At 45.1% G+C, this 20,748-nt stretch overlaps 1 long non-coding RNA gene across 1 annotated transcript, besides 1 other annotated feature; it reads right to left on the reverse strand.

Moving 5' to 3' along the window:
- Positions 1–5,682: 5,682 nt before the first annotated feature.
- LINC01498 (long intergenic non-protein coding RNA 1498) lies at positions 5,683–19,947 on the reverse strand. Its single transcript, NR_120483.1, has 4 exons — positions 19,809–19,947; positions 19,260–19,444; positions 7,888–7,952; positions 5,683–5,842 (listed from the first exon to the last, which is right to left on the reverse strand). It is a non-coding gene; the product is annotated as a long intergenic non-protein coding RNA 1498 (long non-coding RNA).
- Positions 14,657–14,857: a silencer, noted in NCBI's record as "peak1935 fragment used in MPRA reporter construct". NCBI's record gives its function as "represses an SCP1 promoter by STARR-seq MPRAs in K562 erythroleukemia cells {active_cell/tissue: K562}" and the evidence as "EXISTENCE:reporter gene assay evidence [ECO:0000049][PMID:32103011]".
- Positions 19,948–20,748: the final 801 nt, after the last annotated feature.

Below are 20,748 nucleotides of genomic sequence, written 5' to 3' on the forward strand. Positions count from 1 at the left end.
CCACCTACCCAGCACTCCTCTTTCCCCTTCTTAACAGTATGCAGCAGAGGAGAATTTATAAACAACTTCCATCCATTCTGAGTCTTTTCCTGTAACAAAACAAAACACAAATTAATGGTGTTGCAATGAATTATCCTGTCACATAAAATTTTGTGCTAAATCAACTATCATATCAAATTGTAATATAAGCTAGTAGCAAGAGCCAATGATCTGATGAGAAAAGGATGAAAGAAAAAGCCAAAACTATAAATTCTATTCATTCAGGGTTTTGTTGGGGTATTTTTTCTGTGAATTACAAAGAGACACGTTAATTTCTGAAGAGTGTAAGCAGTAAGCAGAGAAGATATTCCATTCTAGAGACACACTCATGCTTTGAGAAACAGAGTTTATGTTATGTCTCTAGGAGTGGCCAAATGTCTGGCTTTTCAAAATGAACACAAGTAGTTCCTTTTCCCAAGGGGATGAGAGAGTGACCCAGGAAAATATAACCTTGCCTCATCCCCAGCAAAGGTAACAAATGCATGGAAATTTAACACAGATAATTTGCTGCTATTTAGGGCTTTCACATAGCCCCAAATTTTACCTCATTTGTTACTATGCAAGACTGAAAGTTTCAGAAACTCAAATCAAACTGATTTAAGCCTAAAGGGGGATTTACTGGCTGGTATAACTTGAAAGTTCAGGTGCAGCTTGATCCAGGTGCTAAAAAGACAGAATCAAGATTTGGTTCTTCTCTCTTTTTTGTCTCTGTTGGCTTCACTCTCAGGTACGTGTTTCCCCCAGCATAACAAAATAAATGACAGCAGCTCCTGGCTTACATCCCACTAGCTCAGACCCTCAGCAGAAGAAGAATGCCTCTTTATCAGGATATCTCTCACAAGTCCTGGAATTCACTCTGATTGGATGGGCAGGAGTCATGTGCCTTCCCTGAACCTTGTTGTGGCTTGGGATGCAATAAGTCCTCTGACTGGCCAAAGCTAAAATCTTCAGGGGCGTGTGAACCAGAGCAACTCCATCTTAAATAGGACCTGGGTAAAATGAGGCTGAGACCTACTGAGCTGCATTCCCAGATGGTTAAAGCATTCTTAGTCACAGGATGAGATAGGAGGTCGGCACAAGATACAGGTCTTAAAGACATTGCTGATAAACCAGGTTGCAGTAAAGAAGCCAGCTATAACCCTCTGAAACCAAGATGGCGACGAGAGTGACCTCTGGTCGTCCTCACTGCTACACTCCCACTGTGAAAGCCCCAAATGGCAGTTTACAAATGGCATGGCAACCACAGGCAGTTACCCTATATAGTCTAAAAAGGGGAGACAAGAATAATCCACCCCTTGATTAGCATATCATCAAGAAACAACCATAAAAATGGGCAACCAGCAGCCCTCAGGGCTGCTCTGTCTACGGAGCAGCCATTCTTTTATTCCTTTACTTTCCTAATAAACTTGCTTTCACTTTAATCTATGGACTCACTCTGAATTCTTTCTTACGCGAGATCCAAGAACCCTCTCTTGGGGTCTCTATTGGGACCCCTTTCCTATAACAAAATCGCCTACCCAGGGAGCCAGGAATGGGGTTAATCTACACCACATTAAGTCAGAGGTCGGGAAAGCTAGCTCAATACATCAGATAGATGATACCAGCAGAAGGGCCACACACAACTGATGCCCCTGCAGGATCCCCAGCTATCATTTGATTTTCAAAATGACCCCCAATGTGATTATTTGGGTTTTTTACTCTTTTTTCATCTCAAAGTTATACACACACATTGTAATAATTACCTCCATTATATAGACTAAGAAACCGAGGCTCAGAGAACCAAGTAACACCCAAGTTCTCCTAATCAAACAAGGAGGAGCTGGGACCCAAACTCTCCATCTGTGTGACTCCAAAGTGAAGTCTGCCCAGGGTCTTTTCTGTAAATGTCCATTTATAGACCAATGAGTTTTTTTCGGGATTGTTCAAAGTCTTCTACTGTATACACAAACCAAAGATACCAGTGGCATTCCTGTCCCCTCGCTCCCACATCCCAGGGCAAGCAAATTTCAGGAGCCCATTTGCAGCCCCTCTTAAAGAGGAACTGAAGACTGAGTTAGTAAATCTGTGCTGAGCTAATGCATTTTTCTGGTTGACAACTTCACCGCTGCCACCAACCTCAGTGCTTTGCTGATGTCAGGCAAGAAACGCAAAATATATTCTGCCCTGTCATTCTAGTCACCTCTTCCTGTCCAACCCACATCCTAAAAACAGGCTAACAGGATTGCCATAGTCAACTCAGTGTGGTTGAAGGGCATTTCAAGGCTCCATATCCAGAGTGTAGCCTGAGGTCCCCTCTCTAGAGAACGGAGTGATAGAAGATACCAATAGCATTATGCTAGGGTGTCCCCTTCACCTAGAAAATCCACTTCTGGACATTTACCCTAAAAAAAATAATCAGAGATGTGAACAATCATAGACATACAGATATCTTCTGAAATATATGCTCGGAGTGCCCACAACAGATTACCCTGGGCACCTGTTAACAAGGGGCATTAGGCTGTGGTTCACACCTCCAATCCCAGCACTTTGGGAGGCCAAGGCAGACAGATCACCTGAGGTCGGGAGTTCAAGACCAGCCTAGCCAACATGGTGAAACCCCTGTCTCTACTAAAAATACAAAAATTAGCCAGCGTGGTGGCACACACCTGTAATCCCAGCCACTCGGGAGGCTGAGGCAGGAGGATCGCTTGAACGCAGGAAGCGGAGGTTACAATGAGCTGAGATCGCGCCATTGCACTCTAGCCTGGGCAATGGAGTGAGACTCCATCTCAAAAAAAAAAAAAAAAAGTTAGGGGGGCATTAGCTGGGCAAGGGGTGTGGGTGGGACAGGACCTCTGCATTCCACTCAACACCTGCAAAATCAGAATCTCCTAAGCTGTGGCATCCAGCCTCAGTTCAAGTCTGCAGTGAGCGATAATCACACCACTGCACTCCAGCCTGGGCAACAGAGCAAGACATCGTCTCTGAAAAAAAAAAAAAGTAGGGGGGAGGGTGGGATCCCTGCATTCCACTCACACCTGTGAAATCTCCTAAGATGACTCCCAGTGATTCCGGCCTCCCGCTGTGTCCCTGGTATTCACACCCACCTTGTTATAGTCTCCTCCCACCTTGAACAGGCCTGGCCTCTGTAACTAATGCAATGGCATATTGCAGAAATGACAGAGCGCCGTCTGAGGTTAAGTCATAAAAGCCTTGTCTTGCTTTCTCTTGGGTCACTCTTTGTGGGGGAAAGTCAGCCGCCATGTCATGAGGACACTCAAGCAACCCTATAGAGAATTCTGCAGGTCCAGGAGCTGGATTCTGCCAACAGCCAGCACAGATCTTGTGAGAGAGCTGCCTTGGAAATGGATCCTCCCGCCCCAGTTGAGTCTGAACCACATCTTGACTCCTGAGAGACCTCAAGCCAGAAGCAACCAGCTAGGACACTCCCTAATTCCTGACTCTCAAAACCTCTGTGAGACAAATGAATAGTCATTGTTTCAAGCTGCTAGGTTTGGGGGTAATTCGTTATTAAGCAGTAGTTATTACACAGGGTGAGCCCAGGATCTACATGTTTACAGGCTCCTTGGGAAAGTCAGACACACTGAAGCCACTGGAGGCCAAGGATGTCCCTGCAACATTGTTTAGATTCAGAAAGTAACATTGGTGCCCCCTAGGGGATTAGAGAAGCAAATTACAGTCTACCTGCAGGATGGCCAACAATGCACATAGGAGACAGCTAGTACCTACCTTATCTTTTTTCAAAGGCTGCCGAGCATTTATGACATATTGAATACAAAATCAGTTCACATGCACAATGCAAAATATAATCCTATTTTTGTTCCATATAGAGCATTATTATATAATCCCTCATGTCCCAGGCCTTAGCCTGAGATGTGTGTGATTATATAATAGTCTTTTACTCCTTGAAGAAGTTCTTGTCACTCCTAAATTATTAAGGTGCAAGCCCACAGCAGCCTAATGGCTTGGAATTAGCCCCAGCTATTTCTGAGGTTTCCGCAGGAATCCTTTTACCTGAGCTCAGGAATGTGCCCACGGGTCCTTCTGGTGTTGACATCCTGCTGTGCCATTGCTGTGGTCTGCTGGGGCGGCTCCCACCCCCAGCCCAGAAGGCAGGATGGCTCACATTCACCCACATGGGGATACAGGCCCTTACAAATATCCAAGTGAGACCAGGATGTAGTTATTTGTTTCACACATATAATACATAAAAACAATCCCACTGTAAAAACTGGCTTTAAAGGAGGGGAAAATAGAGGCAATTGAGTGTAATAGTTCAAGGTCTGACTCCACCTTTTACTTAAATCAGGCACGTTTGCCTCATGTCTTTACGGTCCCACTGCGCTGAACAATTCTAGGGCCACAATTCCTATTGTATTCCTTGTATAGAGCACCCCCTGGAGTCATGCCTTTATTTCCTCATCTGTAACATGGGGATTATAATCACAACTCATAGGGTCATTATTAGCATTGAGCAAGTAAATTCACGTAAAGCCCCTCAACAGTGCCTGGCCCAGAGTGGGCACTCAACAAATGTCACATCTTAATTACCACCATCATTATTCATATATACTCCACACATATAATTCCACTGCCCTCCCTAGAGGCAGCTCCATTTATTAAGTGGGCACACTTGTAGAATTTTTCTGTGCATTTACATACATAGATTTTGGCACTGATTTTTTTCTTGTATGAATAGGATTGTTCTCTATTCTCAGCCATATGTGTCAGAGAAGCTTCCATGTCTGTGTGCATAGATCGGCCTCACTCTAGTGCAGATATGCCAAGCTTTATCTAACAGTCCCCACTTGTCCAGTACTTTGCTTATTTCCAGTTTTATGCTATTGCACACAAGTTGCAAAGAACATTGCTACATGCTTCTTTGTCCATCACACTAGTATTTCTTTAGATGAGATTCCTAGAAGTGATAATTCTGGGGTAAAGGATATTTGCATTTAAAATGTTGATAGATCCTCAGCCTGTCGGGTGCTACTACAGACAACAGAATAAGAGGAGAGATATAGTACCGTGAAGATTAATTTAAAATTATTGCTAAGAGTGGTTGCTAAGACTCAACATCCAAGCGCTTTACTTGGAACTTCCTGCGTAAACACTCACCCTGCACGGAGGATGTTCTGGGAAAATTGCCACACCTCCAAGTTCCCACCCAGCTCATCTGAACCAAGAGAAGTGGGGAATAAGCCTTCCTGTCTAGTAGACCCACAATACCCCCTGGAGAAACATGGGAACATCTCTCCTCCAAAGGACATCCCACCATCACCCTGTAGTCCAAACAAGACAACCACATAGGCCAGGAGGGCAAGTCCAAGTCTGCTCATTGGATTTGGTACATTACTACTGGAAGGGAGACCAACCTTGGAGACCAGGGTACTCCTTACCAGACGTGGCACTTCTCTCCAGCCTCAGGTGAGAGCAAGAGCAAGCCTGCATATCCCTTCTGCCACCATCTGGTCCTCAATCCTCAACTCCAGCAAGCAAATGCTTGGATGAGAATGCACACCCTGTCTCCCAAGAGCAAACAAGTGCGTTCAGGCCTGGGGCAGCCAAACTCTAAGTTTAGAAACAGATTTTGCTCCAACCCTGCAGGGGCATGTTCTACCAACAAACACAGTTTGCTTTAGGTTCCCTTTAGAATACTTAACTGCTCCATCTGCAGCTTCAGTATTTGAGCTTTCAGGGCATCCCCAAGAACCGTGGATAGTTATTTTGCTTATTTTCTTCTCACCAAGTGCTCACACCCAGAATCAAGGGATGGTCCTGCTCAAAGGTAAACTCCAGTCCCCTTCCCAGAAAACAGAAAATACATGTAACATTTTAAATGAGGGTTTTACAAGCTTTGGGGGAAAAACGTAGAAGCAGATTCTACTCCAGGAACCCTACTAAATATGCATTTATAATTTTGCATTCATTTAACAATATTTACCAAGCATCTGCTACATGCCAGACCTTCTTCAAGGTGCTGAGGACACAAGGGTAGGTAAAGCAAGCCAGGACACTGCAGACAGTCCCCAGCTTATGATGCTTTGATTTTTTCATTTTATGATGGTGAGAAAGCAATAGGCATTCAGTACATTCCTTGATTCACAATGGGGTCACATCCATATTGTAAATTGAGGAGCATCTGTATAGGGATTAGATTCTAGTGTGCATACGCATAGAAAAAAAGGCAAGAGAATATTTTTAAAGTGATAATGGTTATCCCTGAGGATGGCAATAATAGAGATCTTAATTGTTTTTTATGTTTTGCGTTGTTTGAAATTTTTCCAACTGGAAAAAAACTCACAGTATAGATGAATATTTATAGTTATGGGACTATACTCACAAGATATTGCTAAGTGAAAAGAACTGGCTACAGAAGAATATACAAAGTATATTTTTTGTAAATATATATTTACACTGTGTGTGTATCTGTTGCGATGAGTCATCTTGACTAAAGGGATTATGGAGGAATGTGCTGTTCAATTTTCTGTGTCTTTCTGCGTTTTGCAAGTGGTATGAATTGAACACTTATCGCTTTTATAAAAAGGGGGAAAATGGGTCGGGCATGGTGGCTCACACCTGTAATCCCAGCACTCTGGGGGGCCAAACTGGGGAGATCGCTTGAGCCCAGAAGTTCAAGACCAGCCTGGGCAACATGGTGAGACCCTGTCTCTACAAAAAAATACAAAAAAAAAAAAAAATAGCCAGGCATGATGGTGCACATCTGTGGTCCCAGCTACCTGGGAGGCTGAGGTGGGAGGATGACCTGAGCCCGGGAGGTCAAGCCTACAGTAAACCCTGATCATACCACTGCACTCCAGCCTGGGTGACAGAGTGAGACTCTGTCTCCAAAAAAAAAAAAGTCGGGGGAGTGGAGGGTGGGGAATGTCATTTAGCAACAGGAACTTCAACCTATTCCTAAATTATTCTATCCCTAAATTATTCTATCCCTTGGTCTACCAAAATACCTGAAAATTCTCCGTTAGAGTCAGTCATTTGGCTAAACGTTTCCTTCCCAGAGGCTCCTGCTACACTACTTAAGAGGAATAACACACTGGTCTCTGTCACTTGCAAAATGGAAACGTGAACAGGGAATCTGAAAATGAACTGTCACTTTGGAAAGCGAGGAGTCTGCCTGGCTCAGCAAGACACGGACAGACAGGGAAGGGCATGGGGAGTCCCAGTGGCGCATAAGGACTCTCTGCTCTGAAAGTGAGGAGGAGGAGACTGAAGAAAAATCAGATGAGACATGGGATAAGAAGGACCTCCATGCATGCCCCTCTCCCAACACCCAGCACCCACTCTGCAGCCAAGGGGTCAGAGCTGTCGAAGAGTGATGAGCAACCTGTTTACTAAAAAGAAAGAAAAACCTACTTATAAGAGGTTTTTATCTTAGTGAGCCGCTCTGCCTGAGTCTACAGAAATTATCAAGGGTGACATCACTCTCCCCAGTCACAACCCCAGGACTTAACATCCCAGCAACACCCAAAGGACTCACCCACCCACCTCCCTGTCATTGCAGCAGCAGAACTGTCAACCCTAAAAATGAGGATGGTTACGTGAGGAAATATGACTATCACTCCTCTCCAAGCTGTCAGCTAGAATATGAGCCTGGACCTAGACTAGTTGCAGCAGGGACCATGTTTAACAAGGGGCACGGTTGACTGCTGGGACTGCTTTAATATTCAATCCAGACCTCTGATGATGAGTTATTCATTAATGACCAACTGCCTCAAGGCTCCTGTTTTATTGAAAGCTTTACAAACCATCCAAGAAATGAGATATTGAGCTAAACATTTCATTCTTCCTCATTTCATCATTCATCCAACATTTTTTGCAAATACTTACCAGGGGCTAGGGACTGGGGGGTCCAGGTATAAGATTCTTTTGGGCTTGAACATATCTGAGGACACCTTGAATTTTTATAAAAATGTGTATTAGATTTTCTTAATTATGGAAGTAACGCATGCATTGCAATATGCTAAACAACAAAGTAAAGTAAAAAATCAATAATCTCTCCCACTCCATTCTAACTCCAACCCCTTGTAGTTAGCAATGTTAATAGATTGTTGTAGAGTTCCCTTCTCTATGCTTTTTTAAAAAAATGTTCATCTATTTATTTATTTTGAGACTTGATTATGAAACTGGTTAATTTTTGTATTTTTTGTAGAAACGGGGTTTCATCATGGTGCCCAAGCTGATCTCAAACTCCTGGGCTCAAGTGATCTGTCCACCTCAGCCTCCCAAAGTGCTAGGACTACAGGCATGAGCCACTACACCTGGCCCTCTATGTCTTTTTTTACTTACCAAAATATATATATATATATATACGTATATATACATATATATATACATATACATATATATATATAGAGAGAGAGAGAGAGAGAAACTATACACATGATTCTACAACTCATCTTTTTCACTTCATTGTGTATTAAGAATCTCCCTTCAGGGTGACACAGAGATTGAGATTGTCCTTTTTAATAGCTGTGTGATATTCCACAGTATGGCTATAATGTAATTTAATCAACAAGTCTCAGACTGATAGGATGTCTCCTAACATCCTATTTGAGGAGACTCACTAAACATCCTTGGACATCACTGTACTTTCATGGATGTCTAAAGAAAAGACTCCCCAGGTGGGACAGCTGGGTATAGACATCTAACAGTGACAGAGGGTCCCTTTCTGCCCCAGCTCATGGGAAAATTTCCAGTGGTCCTGATCAGTTCCCCACTGGTTAGGGAACAAGATTACCCTTTCTCTCCCTCTCCCTATAAGGTGTCCAAGCCCCTCCCCTTCTCTTCATGGGGTGGAGAGTTGGCAGGATGGTTGGATGGTGGTTTGTTCACAAATGATGGGTCAGAAGCCAGGTGCCCTCCAGGGCAGCTCACTGCTCAGTCCCTGGCCCTTCTCCTCTGTGATCACGATGGAAGCCCTCCCCATTCCCCTCCCACTTCCCAAAGGCCTCCACACCATCCTTCCCTGCTCAGAACGGTCTTCCAAATCAACCTCCTTTTTCCCCAGCCCCAGTCTCATCACTTCTCAGAGACCAGGGATCAGGATTGGGCAGAATGCATCTGCGTGCTTTCATCCTTGGCTCTGTGTCGGCACCATCTGGCACAGGAGAGAAGGGTCCTCAGAACCAAGGTGGGGGAAGAAAGGCAGGGAGAGAGCAGAGGAGGGGAAGGAAGGGGAGGGTAGGAAAGGGGAGGGGAGGGGAGGGGAGGAGAGGAAGGGAAGGGAAAGACAGAGGAAGGGAGGGGAGGGGAAAGGAGGAGAGAGAGGGGAGGGGAATTATTAGGCGGCAAAGAGACCCTTCCCAATACAACCCTACCACATGCACTTCTTTGTCACTGCTTTCTACTCTCTGAACATTTATGGTACATCAAGTCCAGCCCTCCTCAGCCCTTCCCTCTGCGAAGACACCAAGACCATGCACATTTCACAGTGAGGACACTGGAGCCAGGATGGGGCGCGGAGGGGGGGTGTGATTTAGCCGACACCACTCATCAAGTTGGTAGCAGAGACAGGGCTACAACCCAGCTCTCTGACATCCCTTTATTGTGAGTTGAGGAAGGAGTGAGTCTCCATTGCAGTTCGTTCCACCTGCCCTCCAGAATCCCAAGGAGCAATCCTATTAATCATCACAAGAAGGTTAATATGAAAATAGAATCAGGCCTAAATTGAAACAGACAAGTTCAAATCTGTCACCCTTAACCCAGTCCAATTCAATCTGTCAGCAAGTCCTGTTGGCTCTTCCTTCAAACTGTATTGAGAATTCATTTTTTCCTTTCTACTCCGGTCACCTCTGTCCAAGGCACCAGGGTTCCTGCAGCCACCTCCTCTCTGCCTTCCCAGCTCCCATCTTGCCCCTCCACAGGTCTTTGCATGTAGCAGCTGGAGCCTTCCTCTTAAAATATAAACTGGATCGTGTCTTTCTCCCCAGCTTGGAGCCTCTAGCAAATGACTTCTGGCTGCACTTAAAATAAAACCTCCATTTCTCACCCTGGTCGATGAGGCAGGACACGATCTCTTCACGCTTCCAAACTCATCTCCTGCAGCAACCCCTCTCCTTCACTTACCCTGTTCCTCTTTCTGTCCCTGTGAAACTTAAGACTCTGGGCTGGACACAGCTATGATCCCAGCACTTTGTGAGGCCAAGGCGGGAGAATCGCTTGAGGCCAGGAGTTCAAGAGCAGCCTGAGCAACATAACAAGACCCCATCCCATCTCTAAAAAAAATTTTTTTAATGAGCCAGGTGTGGTGGCATGCATCTGTGGCCCAGCTACTCAGAAGGCTGAGGTGGGAGGATCACCTGAGCTCAGGAGTTCGAGGTTCCAGTGAGCTGACTGTGCCACTGCACTCCAGTTTGGGTGACAGAGTGAGACCCTGTCCCAAAACAGCAACAACAAAAACACCAAAACTCCCAGCTCTCTCCTGCTTTCCACAGCCTTTGCAATTGCCATTCCCACTCACTGTGGAAATGGGCTCCAGGTGTCTGCACAGCCAGCTCCTTCTCCTTTCCTCTCAACTCAGATGTCGCTTCTTTGGAGAGGCCTTACCACCATCAGGAATCATCTTGCTCACCTTTCTGCTTATTTGTTGATTGTCTATCTTCCCAGACTATGAGGCACACACCATCAGGGCAGAGGCCAGGTTTACTTTGTTCAAGCACATGGAATAAAGTAGGTGCTCAATGAGTCTCTGAGAAGAAAGGCAGGGAGGATGGGGTGGTGTGGAAGAAGGGAGACCGGTGTGTGCTCCTTAAGGTAACATCCATGCCCGGGCCCCAGACACCCAAGGAACAGTCAGCAGGCCCTGAGGCCAGTCTCACCCCTCCATCAACACACCACAGCCAGTGTTGTTTGTAGCTCAGCGTGGGCCCCCATTGAGTCTGGCTATGGCATATTCAGAACAGCCAGGGCCTCTAACAAGGTGAGTGGGGACCTGGCAGTCATTTTCTCTTTGCAGCTGTGACATCTTCACGGAAGTTCCTCTTTGAGTCAGGTTTGTATCTCTTACCTGACTCTTGCAGCCACGACTTCTGGAACTCTGTCTCCCAGGATGTGACCGTGTACTAAAATATTTTACATGCCATGTATCCATGATAGTTCCATGAGGGAACTACCATTATCATCCCCATTTGAAAGATGGGGAAACTGAGGCTCAGAGAAATTCTGTAATGAGCTCAAGGTCATAGAGCCTCTTACCAGCTGAGCTGAGATTTAGACCCAGACAGGCTGAGTGCAGAGCTGATGCTCTTGACCATGACACTGGAGACCTCCTGGCACCAAGGATGCCATAGGATGAGTGAAGTCTCCAAGAAGTCTACCAACTGGTTTCTGCCTTAATTTTCTTGACCCCAGGACCCAAGGCCCCGGGTGCAAGGGTAGCCACAGCAGAGGCTCAGAAGTCCACACTGAACTGAGGAATGGGGTCAGTCCTACCCTGTGTCAGAAATCCCTTTCTCTTGCTTTGCGAGGCCAAAGGGATCAAGTCAAACCAACCATGGCTGTTTCCCTAAAAATCCCATTTTCCCTCTCAGTGAAGGAGAAAGCAATATGATTCTGCAGGCTCCCTGAATGGTGAATTTGCCCCTGTTAGGCAGCTTCTAGGGCTGATTTGGAGAAAAGAAACAAATCACTCCAGCACCTAAATCTAACAAGCTGGGAGAGATGGCAGTAAGGATTGCTGCCGGGAGGTGGGGCAGGAACCAGGAGATGTTTATAGGGCACCAGAGAGAAAGAAATGGGGATGGTTGAGCCCATTCTGCTGCTGACCCCAGATTTATACACTACAGGCCTCGTTCATGGTCCCCATGGGACCACAGGTCCTTTCAGCATCTCCTCCTAGCTTGGGAAGATGAATCACACACACAGAGGAAGCGAGTGTTGCTGTATCTTTGTGAGTGAGCCTGTGTGTGCTTGGATGTGTGTGTGTGCACACATTGGAATGTCTTTGTGTGTCTGCCTCAGTGTATCTGTGTGTCTTTGTATATGCATTTGTGTTTCTGCCTTTGGCTACATCTTTCAGATGGATGAGATCAGTTTCTCTTTCAAGTCGCCTTTTGGGAGTTTACTACAAGATCCGCTTCCCTCCCCTCTACTGGACAGAGTGATGCCTCATCTTCCCTGCCTCTGAATGTTGAGGCACCTTCTCCCCTGCTGACAAAAAATCAAATCTTGGAGGTGGTCTTCGATTCTACTCAGGGGAAGTAAAAGTCTGTAATTATGATATACTACCAAATGAGGTGGGTGGTTTCAAGCCCCTAGCTGGTAAATTCCCTCCTCTTTCCTTCTTGCAAGTCAATTCCTTTTGTTTTTTGGGTTTTTTTTTTTTTAGATGGAGTCTTACTCTGTTGCCCAGGCTGGAGTGCAGTGGTGCAATCTCAGCTCACTGCAACCTCTGCCTCCCAGGTTCAAGCGATTCTCCTGCCTCCACCTCCTAAGTAGCTGGAATTACAGGCATGTGCCACCACACCTGGCTAATTTTTGTACTTTTAGTAGAGTTGGGGTTTCACCATGTTGGCCAGGCTGGTCTCGAACTCCTGACCTCAAGTGATGCACTTGCCTTGGCCTCCCGAAGCACTAGGATTACAGGCATGAGCCACCACCCACTGCACCCAGCCAAGTCAGTTCTTATTTAGAGCAAAGATTTTTTTTCGCTGATGCAAACTATTTAAGCTATTTATGTAGTACTTATTCCCCTGCACAGACATGTGATAGCCACATATTTAAAGTCTGTAAATAATACTATCAAAATGATCTTAATCTTCTAAATCTCACAAATGTTTATATTTTACAACCCAATCAAAAATTAATGCTAAACAAGCCAATCATAGAGCAAAGATTTTTAACCTCTGCATCTGTCGTCATGTTTTGGGCAACATGTGCAGCCTACCAGCTCTCTTCTGTGCCTTCATGACCTAGAAGCTACATGTGGGGTGGCAGCATCACAAAAATCAAAGTAGCCTGAGTCCCTAAGTAATTGCATGAGGGACCACCACCATAGAGGGTTGACTGACTCCCAACAGAATTTATGTAAGAGAAACAAAGCTTGATTGTCTAAAATCACAGAGACTTCTGGGTTTGCTTGTTACTGCATTCATAAGCTTATCCTAACTAATACAACAACTAAATCATCTTATGTATCCCTGGTGGTATACACAATAAAACCTTGGCATACATTTGACTTGGCTATTTCTAAGATCCCACTTAGCTCTGAGACTCGATAATCCTAACCTCTTATGATAGCATGACCCTAATTATTTACCCAGATCACACCTCTGGGTCTCTGAAACATAAATTTGCAGACTGACATTGCCACCCAGCCCTCTAGTATATGAGGAGATACGTCTAAAGATGCTACCAGGCCCTCCCAGAATGGAAAAGCATGAAACTGAGGGATTTTTTTCTGCGACTGTGAAGCTTCTATATTTATTGCCCAGCCAGCTGCATTTCACCCTGTGCTGGGCAACGGTTCCTAGATGAACCCAACCCAAAGCCCTTCTCCCCATGAGCCTTTCTACAATCCAAACCCTCCCAATTAAGGAGACAACTTTGAAATTAACCCTAACTAAGTCTCAGAAGTGTCCTTGGACTTCAAGCAAGCTGAGTACCTTGGGGGACTTATTCTGGCTCTTGTTGGACTTGATACTCATGTCTACCGAAGTGTCAGGTGACTTGGGTTCCAATCACAGCTCTCGCATTCCTAGCAGTGTGAACTCTGACAAGTTACATGGCCTCTCTGAGTCATATCTTCAACTGTAAAATGTGGATAATAATAGTACCTGCCTCCTAGGATTGTCCTGAGGATATACAGAGCATAAAACTAGTGCCCCAACGTCAATGAAAAAAAGGAGCCCTTTGTGTAAGCAGAATGGGGGAAAGCACCCATAACCAAACTCTAATCAGACAAAGTGTCAGCTCTTTAGCCATTGGAGTCACCAGTAAACTTGGCCTGAGAGAGTAAACCTTCAATTCACTATTGCTGTCTAGCTAAGACAGGCTTCTCGGGGTGCCATTGTTATCAGGGATGGGGAGGAATGGGACAGAGCACCAGTACCTTTTGATGAGGAGGAGAGTCACTGCTTAGGTACTGCTGGGGAAGTCCCAGTCAGGCAGTGAGATGCTCCAGGCACTAAAAAGACAGCATGAAACGGGCACATATATCACTTCTTCACTTGAAGTCCCAGTTTCTTCCCGCATCAAATCCACAGGCTATATTGAGGGTCTAAAGTGGCTGCCACAGATTTTAAAATGTGGAGACCCTGCGAGGTGTTATCATTGCTATTGCCAACATCATTACTGCATACGCTTCTCCCCATGAAAAGCCCTTACAGAAACTCCCCCGCCACCCCCATATTTTCTCCCTCAGAGCCCCATACTACGTGGATGGATAAATAAAAAACCAATGCTTTTCAATTTCCAGGACCCTCCTGAGATCATTATTCACTCTCCAAGAGGGTAGCTTTTAATTCTGCTATAAATGAGAGGCTGGCCTTTAACTCCCCACTCTCTGTTGTCATGGAAACTGGTGCACTAGCAACTTGGCGTGGAAACAAGAAATGGGTATTCTTTTTCCATCAAGAAGAGGAAAGGCTGGGAGAACTTCAAGGTAGGAGGTGGAGACCTTGCACTCTATGTGATCTCCCTTTGAAAAGGAACCACCCAAAAGATGCCAATAAGGAAATTCTATTGCAGAGCCCTAGAACTAACTTCAGGACCATGGAGAGCTCCCTGAAAAGTTAAAGGTTGAGCCAGGAGCAGGAGAAAAAATGAAGTCAGTAGCTACACCATATCCTCAACTTCTACAGAAGACAAAGTATAAAAGGCAGGGACTGTGCTGCAGAGGCGAGAAGACGAGAGGGGAGGAGAGAGGAGTGGAGAGGAGGGGAAGGGAGGGGAGGGGAGGGGAGGGGAGGGGAGGGAAGGGAAGGGAAGGAAAGGGAAGGGAAGGGAAGGATCCCTCTGGCATTAATCCGTCTTAGTCCCAATCCCAAATTCCCAGGATAAAGACTCTACATGGGGAGGTGTTTCCCCTTTAGCTAATTTGCTATGAATAGGGAAAGTGGGACCTCACTGGACACATGTGGCCAGTGGGTACACATCCAGGGACCCTGTGGATCAGAGAGGTGCGAGAAGCAGTGTTCAAGAAGATGGGAATGAATGTGAGCTGTGCGAGATCTCATAAACTCACTGTGGCAATGATAGATCCTGGACCCTAAAAATAGAAAGAATGCATTCTCTAAAAGCTGAGAAATTTGGCCAAGGAAGGAATTGGGGTCCATCCTACATGGAAGCCAGTAATGGGGATGGGAGAGTTAAGCCAAACCCATGAACTTTAAAAAGCATCCAACTTCTACTCAGTAGTCATTGAAATGGTCTCCATAAAGCTCCGAGGCAAAATTATAGATCATCATTTTAATTGAGTGAAATTGGCTATACATTAATATTCATGATTATTAGAGCAGCTAATTTTCCTCTTTATAGAAAGTGAGTGGGGGATCATTTCAGCTGCTACTTACTTTTCCTCCCTTTGATTTCTGCGGAGGAGGTGAAAGAATAAAACACACAGCACTTGGAATCAGCCATCAATTTTGGAATGTTGGGTAATTATCAAGGATTTTTTAAATTGCTTTGACCTCTTAGAGGGACTGCGTAGAAGCATTCTATGAATATTAAAAAAAAAATGCACCTGCTAGCCTCCAGGCCTGGTCCCTTTGGCCAAATAAGGGCAGGTGACTTAAATGACATAAGCACCCCATCCACTCCACTGCCCCACCAACCCACCAAGGATGAAAATAACAACAACAATAACAATAATAACAGTCATCAGAGCCCATGCTGGGTGCAGCCAAGATGGGATGAGAGTGCACAGGTAGGGTGACAAGGGTGTCCATGCATGGAAGGGGTGGCAGCTGAAACAGGAGAATCGTTACATTGACCACTGAGTATAAATGGATTTCTCACTGTCAGAGAAAGGAGTCACAAATGTGGAAAGGAAGAGAACCAGAATGAGCTCTATGGTGATGGATTGGAGTCAGAGGTGTATTAACGTGACTTTCTGGTTTCCAATATGGAGAAAAAAATCTAATAAATATAGATGTAAACATGTTTGTACATGTGTATATCTACATACACATACATGTGTGCACACACACATGTACTCCCTAGATTTGCACATTAAGAGGACCTGGAATCAGTGCTGCCCTAATAGCTATAAACATACTTTACACCAATATCTTTGTTTCCAGATATTCTCCACTAAATTGAATCAAGGCACTTTAGGGAAATGGCTGATTCCAAGGCTGGCTCCAGGAAAAAACAAGATAACTGGAACATCTTGTGCCAGAAAGCAAGAAAACATTCAAAGTATCATAGGGGTCACATCAAGGGACACAGACACCAGCTTGAAGTGGCTCTCACCAGCCAAAAATGACGTGATTTGAGAATCAAAATAAATGAGAATAGTAATGAATTACAGCCCACTCAAAAAACTAGCATGGAATGAGTTCATACTGATATAAATAAATGAATGAATAAAGTAAATGTTTGATACTGAATAGGATATTTACATAATTTCAAAGACCCTCCCCACAAAAAATACTGCGAAGACAGAAAGAGTAATTTTAGAGTGGAGAGAAGTCCCCTGTGGGGAGGGCCCCTCAATTAAGTGACCAGAGTGAATGCCAGCAGTAATCACATGCCATCCAACAGGGTTCCATGAGAAGGATGCCACGTCTTTCACATGCTATTCCTGCCCAAGATGCATGACCTGAATCTATTCACCAGGGAGCATCAGACACACCCACACAGAGTGACATTCCACAAAATGCTGGCTGTCCCCTCCAAAAGCATCACGAGAGTCCAAGAGAGACTGAGGAACACTCCAGACTGGAGGACATCCAAGAGACAGGACAGCTAAACACAACAGTAGATGCTGAACTGGATCCTTTCACTGGAAAGGACGTTATTGGCACAAATAGGAAACCGTGAATGGGGTCTGAGGATTAGATGGGTGTAATGTTGCAGGATTCATGTCCTGACCTAACAATTTTACCATGATCACTAAGAGCATGTCCTTATTTTAAGGAAATAGACTCTACTGTATTCAGGGGTGACAGGGCATCGATTTGACAACTTATTTTGAAATGGCTTTGGAGGAAAAAAAAGTGATCTGTATTGAACTTGCAACTTTATAATAATGATCATAGTAACTGCTAATTTGAATGTCTACTATGCACAATGCACTTTTTACAACTCTGTTTCTACCTTATAATAACCTTACAAAATCATCCTAATATATTCCCATTTCATAGATGAGAAAACTGAGGTTCCAAGAAGTCAAGCATCATGCACAAGGTCATTACTACTTTTATTCTACAAGTGTGGACTGTGTCTCTGGGGACTGTGCCAGACACTGGGCATATAGTGAGGAATAAAATAAGCATGTCCTTCTCCTAGTGAGGAATAAAATAAGCAGGAATTTTAAATCCAGGATGCGCTATGGGCAAGAACCAGGAAAACAAACAAGGAAATCATTCCTGGCAGGATGAGAGCCGTGAACATACAAACACAAGGTTTTGGAGAAAGATGATATTGAGGAGCAGAGGATGAACCCAGTCTGTGAGCCTTTATGGGTCTTGGTAGAATTTGGATTTTATTCTAAATCAATGGGAAATCATGGTCATGATTTGTGCATGGAAATGACATGATCTGATTTGGGTTTTTTGGGGGTTTGTTTGTTTTGAGATGAAGTCTTGCTCTGTCACCCAGGCTGGAGTGCAGTGGTGTGATCTTGGCTCGCTGCAACCTCCACCTCCCAGGTTCAAGCGATTCTCCTTCCTCAGCCACCTGAGTAGCTGGGATTAATTGCAGAGGTGTGGTACCATGCCCAGCTAATTTTTGAATTTTTAGTAGAGTCAGGGTTTCACTATGTTGGCCAGGCTGGTCTCAAACTCCTGAATTCAAGCGATCTACCCACCTCGGCTTCCCAAAGTGCTGAGATTACAGGTGTGAGCCATCATGCCTGGCCCTGATTTGTATTTTAAAGGAACTTCCTAGCTTCAGAGAGGGATTATCAGGGCAAGAAGAGACAATGTGGGGGCCAATGAGCTGCTAAGTGGCAGAGCCAGTTTTCCCCACCCCCAGGTCTCTCTGGCCTCACTCTCTTGCCACTCCAGCAGGTACCCTGAGTGTCCTCCCCATCCCTCCACACTTACCTCATCTGGTTGCCCTAAGCAGGTCGGCATCGCCTGGAATTAACACTGCCTATGCGGCTGGGAAAGCATCTCTCCAGTGATGATTGTAGAAGTTGCTGGGTAAATACATATTTAGCAAAACGAGCCACTCCATAGTAGCCTCTGAGATTCCACATTGCAGAGAGATTAAGGGAGGAGGGGGTGGCTCTAGGATTAAATAAGATCTGGGTTCTAAGGCCCAGGTATGCCAGGTAGCGAGAGACAGAGGTGAGAAGCACATGGGCTCCTTAAACTAGAGCTGATAATGATTCTCCCCACTTTTCTTGTTTGAATGTCTTCCATTTTAAGTCCCCCCATCCTGTAGTCTACACCAGCTTGTCCTACAGAACTTACTGTGATGATGGAAATATTCTATATCTATACTGTTCATTGTGACAGCCACTAGCCACATGGGGCTACTGAGGACTTAAAATGCAGCTGGTGCAACTGAGACTGAATTTTTCATTTTATTTAATTGTAATTAATTTGAATGTAAATAGCCCCATGTGGCTAGTGGCTACCACACTGGACAGCACAGGTCGGCACACTGGGGACAAAATGCTAAGACACAGTCCCCTGGAATGGACACCTTCACCCAGCTTCTCAGCTCTAAAGAGAAAGGCAGCCAGTGAAAGTAGCAAACCACAAACCCAAAGGTGACCTGACCTTTGCCATACGACATTTGCCCCTTGGCCCCCAGGATAATTGCCAGGTTTACCACCCCTTTGTCCTGTCTAAATGATGCTGTTTCCTTTCAAAGATGCACGCTTATTTTAATGAGAACATACAACGCTAAATTGCATTTCTCTTTCTTCTCTCCTGACACAATTCTCCTTCTAATAAGATTTTCCCTGGCTAACCCATTTTCGCAGCAGCTATTCTAAAAAGCCATCTTCTGATTGAGCTATGACATACACAAGGCAGGTGAGAGAGCTTGAAGCACAAAGCCAGAGGGATATAGGTCTATTTTCTTACCTCCTTGGGGAAAGCCAGATAACATAATCAAGCCAAAGACTATTTTCCTAACAACTGCTGTGAGGCCAGCTGACCGGCATTTGCCATGATCAGTCATAATGGATGATGTTGCCAGCAGACGGCATCTTGGCAATGGGAAAGGCAGACCCAGGCCCCACTCTTCTCTTGCAGGAACTTCTTTAGCCCTGAAAAATGAAAGCAGAGACCCATTTCTTGAGCAAAGACAAGCAGAATTTATTATCTAATATCAGATTGTATGAGGAGCTTTCAGCCCAACTCGTGATCCGAAAGCTCTTAAAGTGGTGAGTGACAGGGACCCTTAGCGTAGATTTTTCATTCTCTTATTCCTTATATTCATTATCAAGTGATGGCCTCTTTAGCTCCAAAATGTAATTGAATCCATTTCTTTCTCACCACCTCCACCACTACTACCCTTGCCCAAGCACCCAGAGTAACGGCATCAGGCGATTACTCTCAGTCTCTCACCCACAGGAATGAAATAACCTCCTCCAAGCTCTCCTTGCTTCCATTCTTGCCCTTAACACCCACCTTTCACACACCACCCAGAGTAACTGCACCAGGTAGGATAGGTCACATTATGCTGCAATAACAAATAATCCCCAAAAGTCAGTGACTTATAACAACCAGGGTTTACTTCTTGTTTATGCTCCATTCAGCTGGGACATCTGCTCCAAGTCCCTGCTTGCAAGATTCAACATTGGTGGTTGCCATGGCCCATGACAGAGGGAAAGAGTTCTGGAGCATCTTGCATCAGCAATGCAACGTTCCAGCCCGGAGGTGACATCTATTATTTCCACTCGCAACTCACTGGATAGGACTAGTCACATGACCCTGCCCTATAATAAGAAGGCAGTAAGTGCAACCCTCTCCCATCTCCTGAATACAGAGAGAATGTTGAACTGGAGGGGATCTAAGAGATAATCAAGTTCAACCTGCTTGTTCCAGAAGCAAGGAAACTGAGGCTTAGAGAGGAGAGGGGTTTATCTGCAGTCACAGAGCAGGGTAAAACAAAAAAGCTTCTCTGCTCCAAATTTATGTGCAGTCACAGAGCAGGGAACAACACAGAGCTTCACTCCAAATCCAAGTATTCTTTCATCCATCCATTAAATAGTAATAAAGGAACTACTATGTGCCAAGCATGGCTGGGAAGACAGAAATGAGCAAGACCCACCCGGCCCCTGCTCCCCAAGCTCACAGCTTGGCCAGAGAAGTGGATAACTAAACAGGCAATTACAGCCCCCTGTGAAACATGCTGGGTGCGCATGGTGTCATAACACCACACAGAACTCTCTCTGAATGGCTCTCCAGTGAATTCTGTTTTTTGGTCTTCATTTTTTTGAGGTGGAGTTTTGCTCTTGTTGCCCAGGCTGGAGTGCCTGGGCAATGGCATATCGGCTCACTGCAACCTCTGCTTCCTCGGTTCAAGTGATTCTCCTGCCTCAGCCTCCCGAGTAGCTGGGATTACATG

The sequence above is a fragment of the Homo sapiens genome, chromosome 12 (genome assembly GCF_000001405.40).
Source record: "Homo sapiens chromosome 12, GRCh38.p14 Primary Assembly".
NCBI classification, from domain to species: Eukaryota; Metazoa; Chordata; class Mammalia; order Primates; family Hominidae; genus Homo; species Homo sapiens.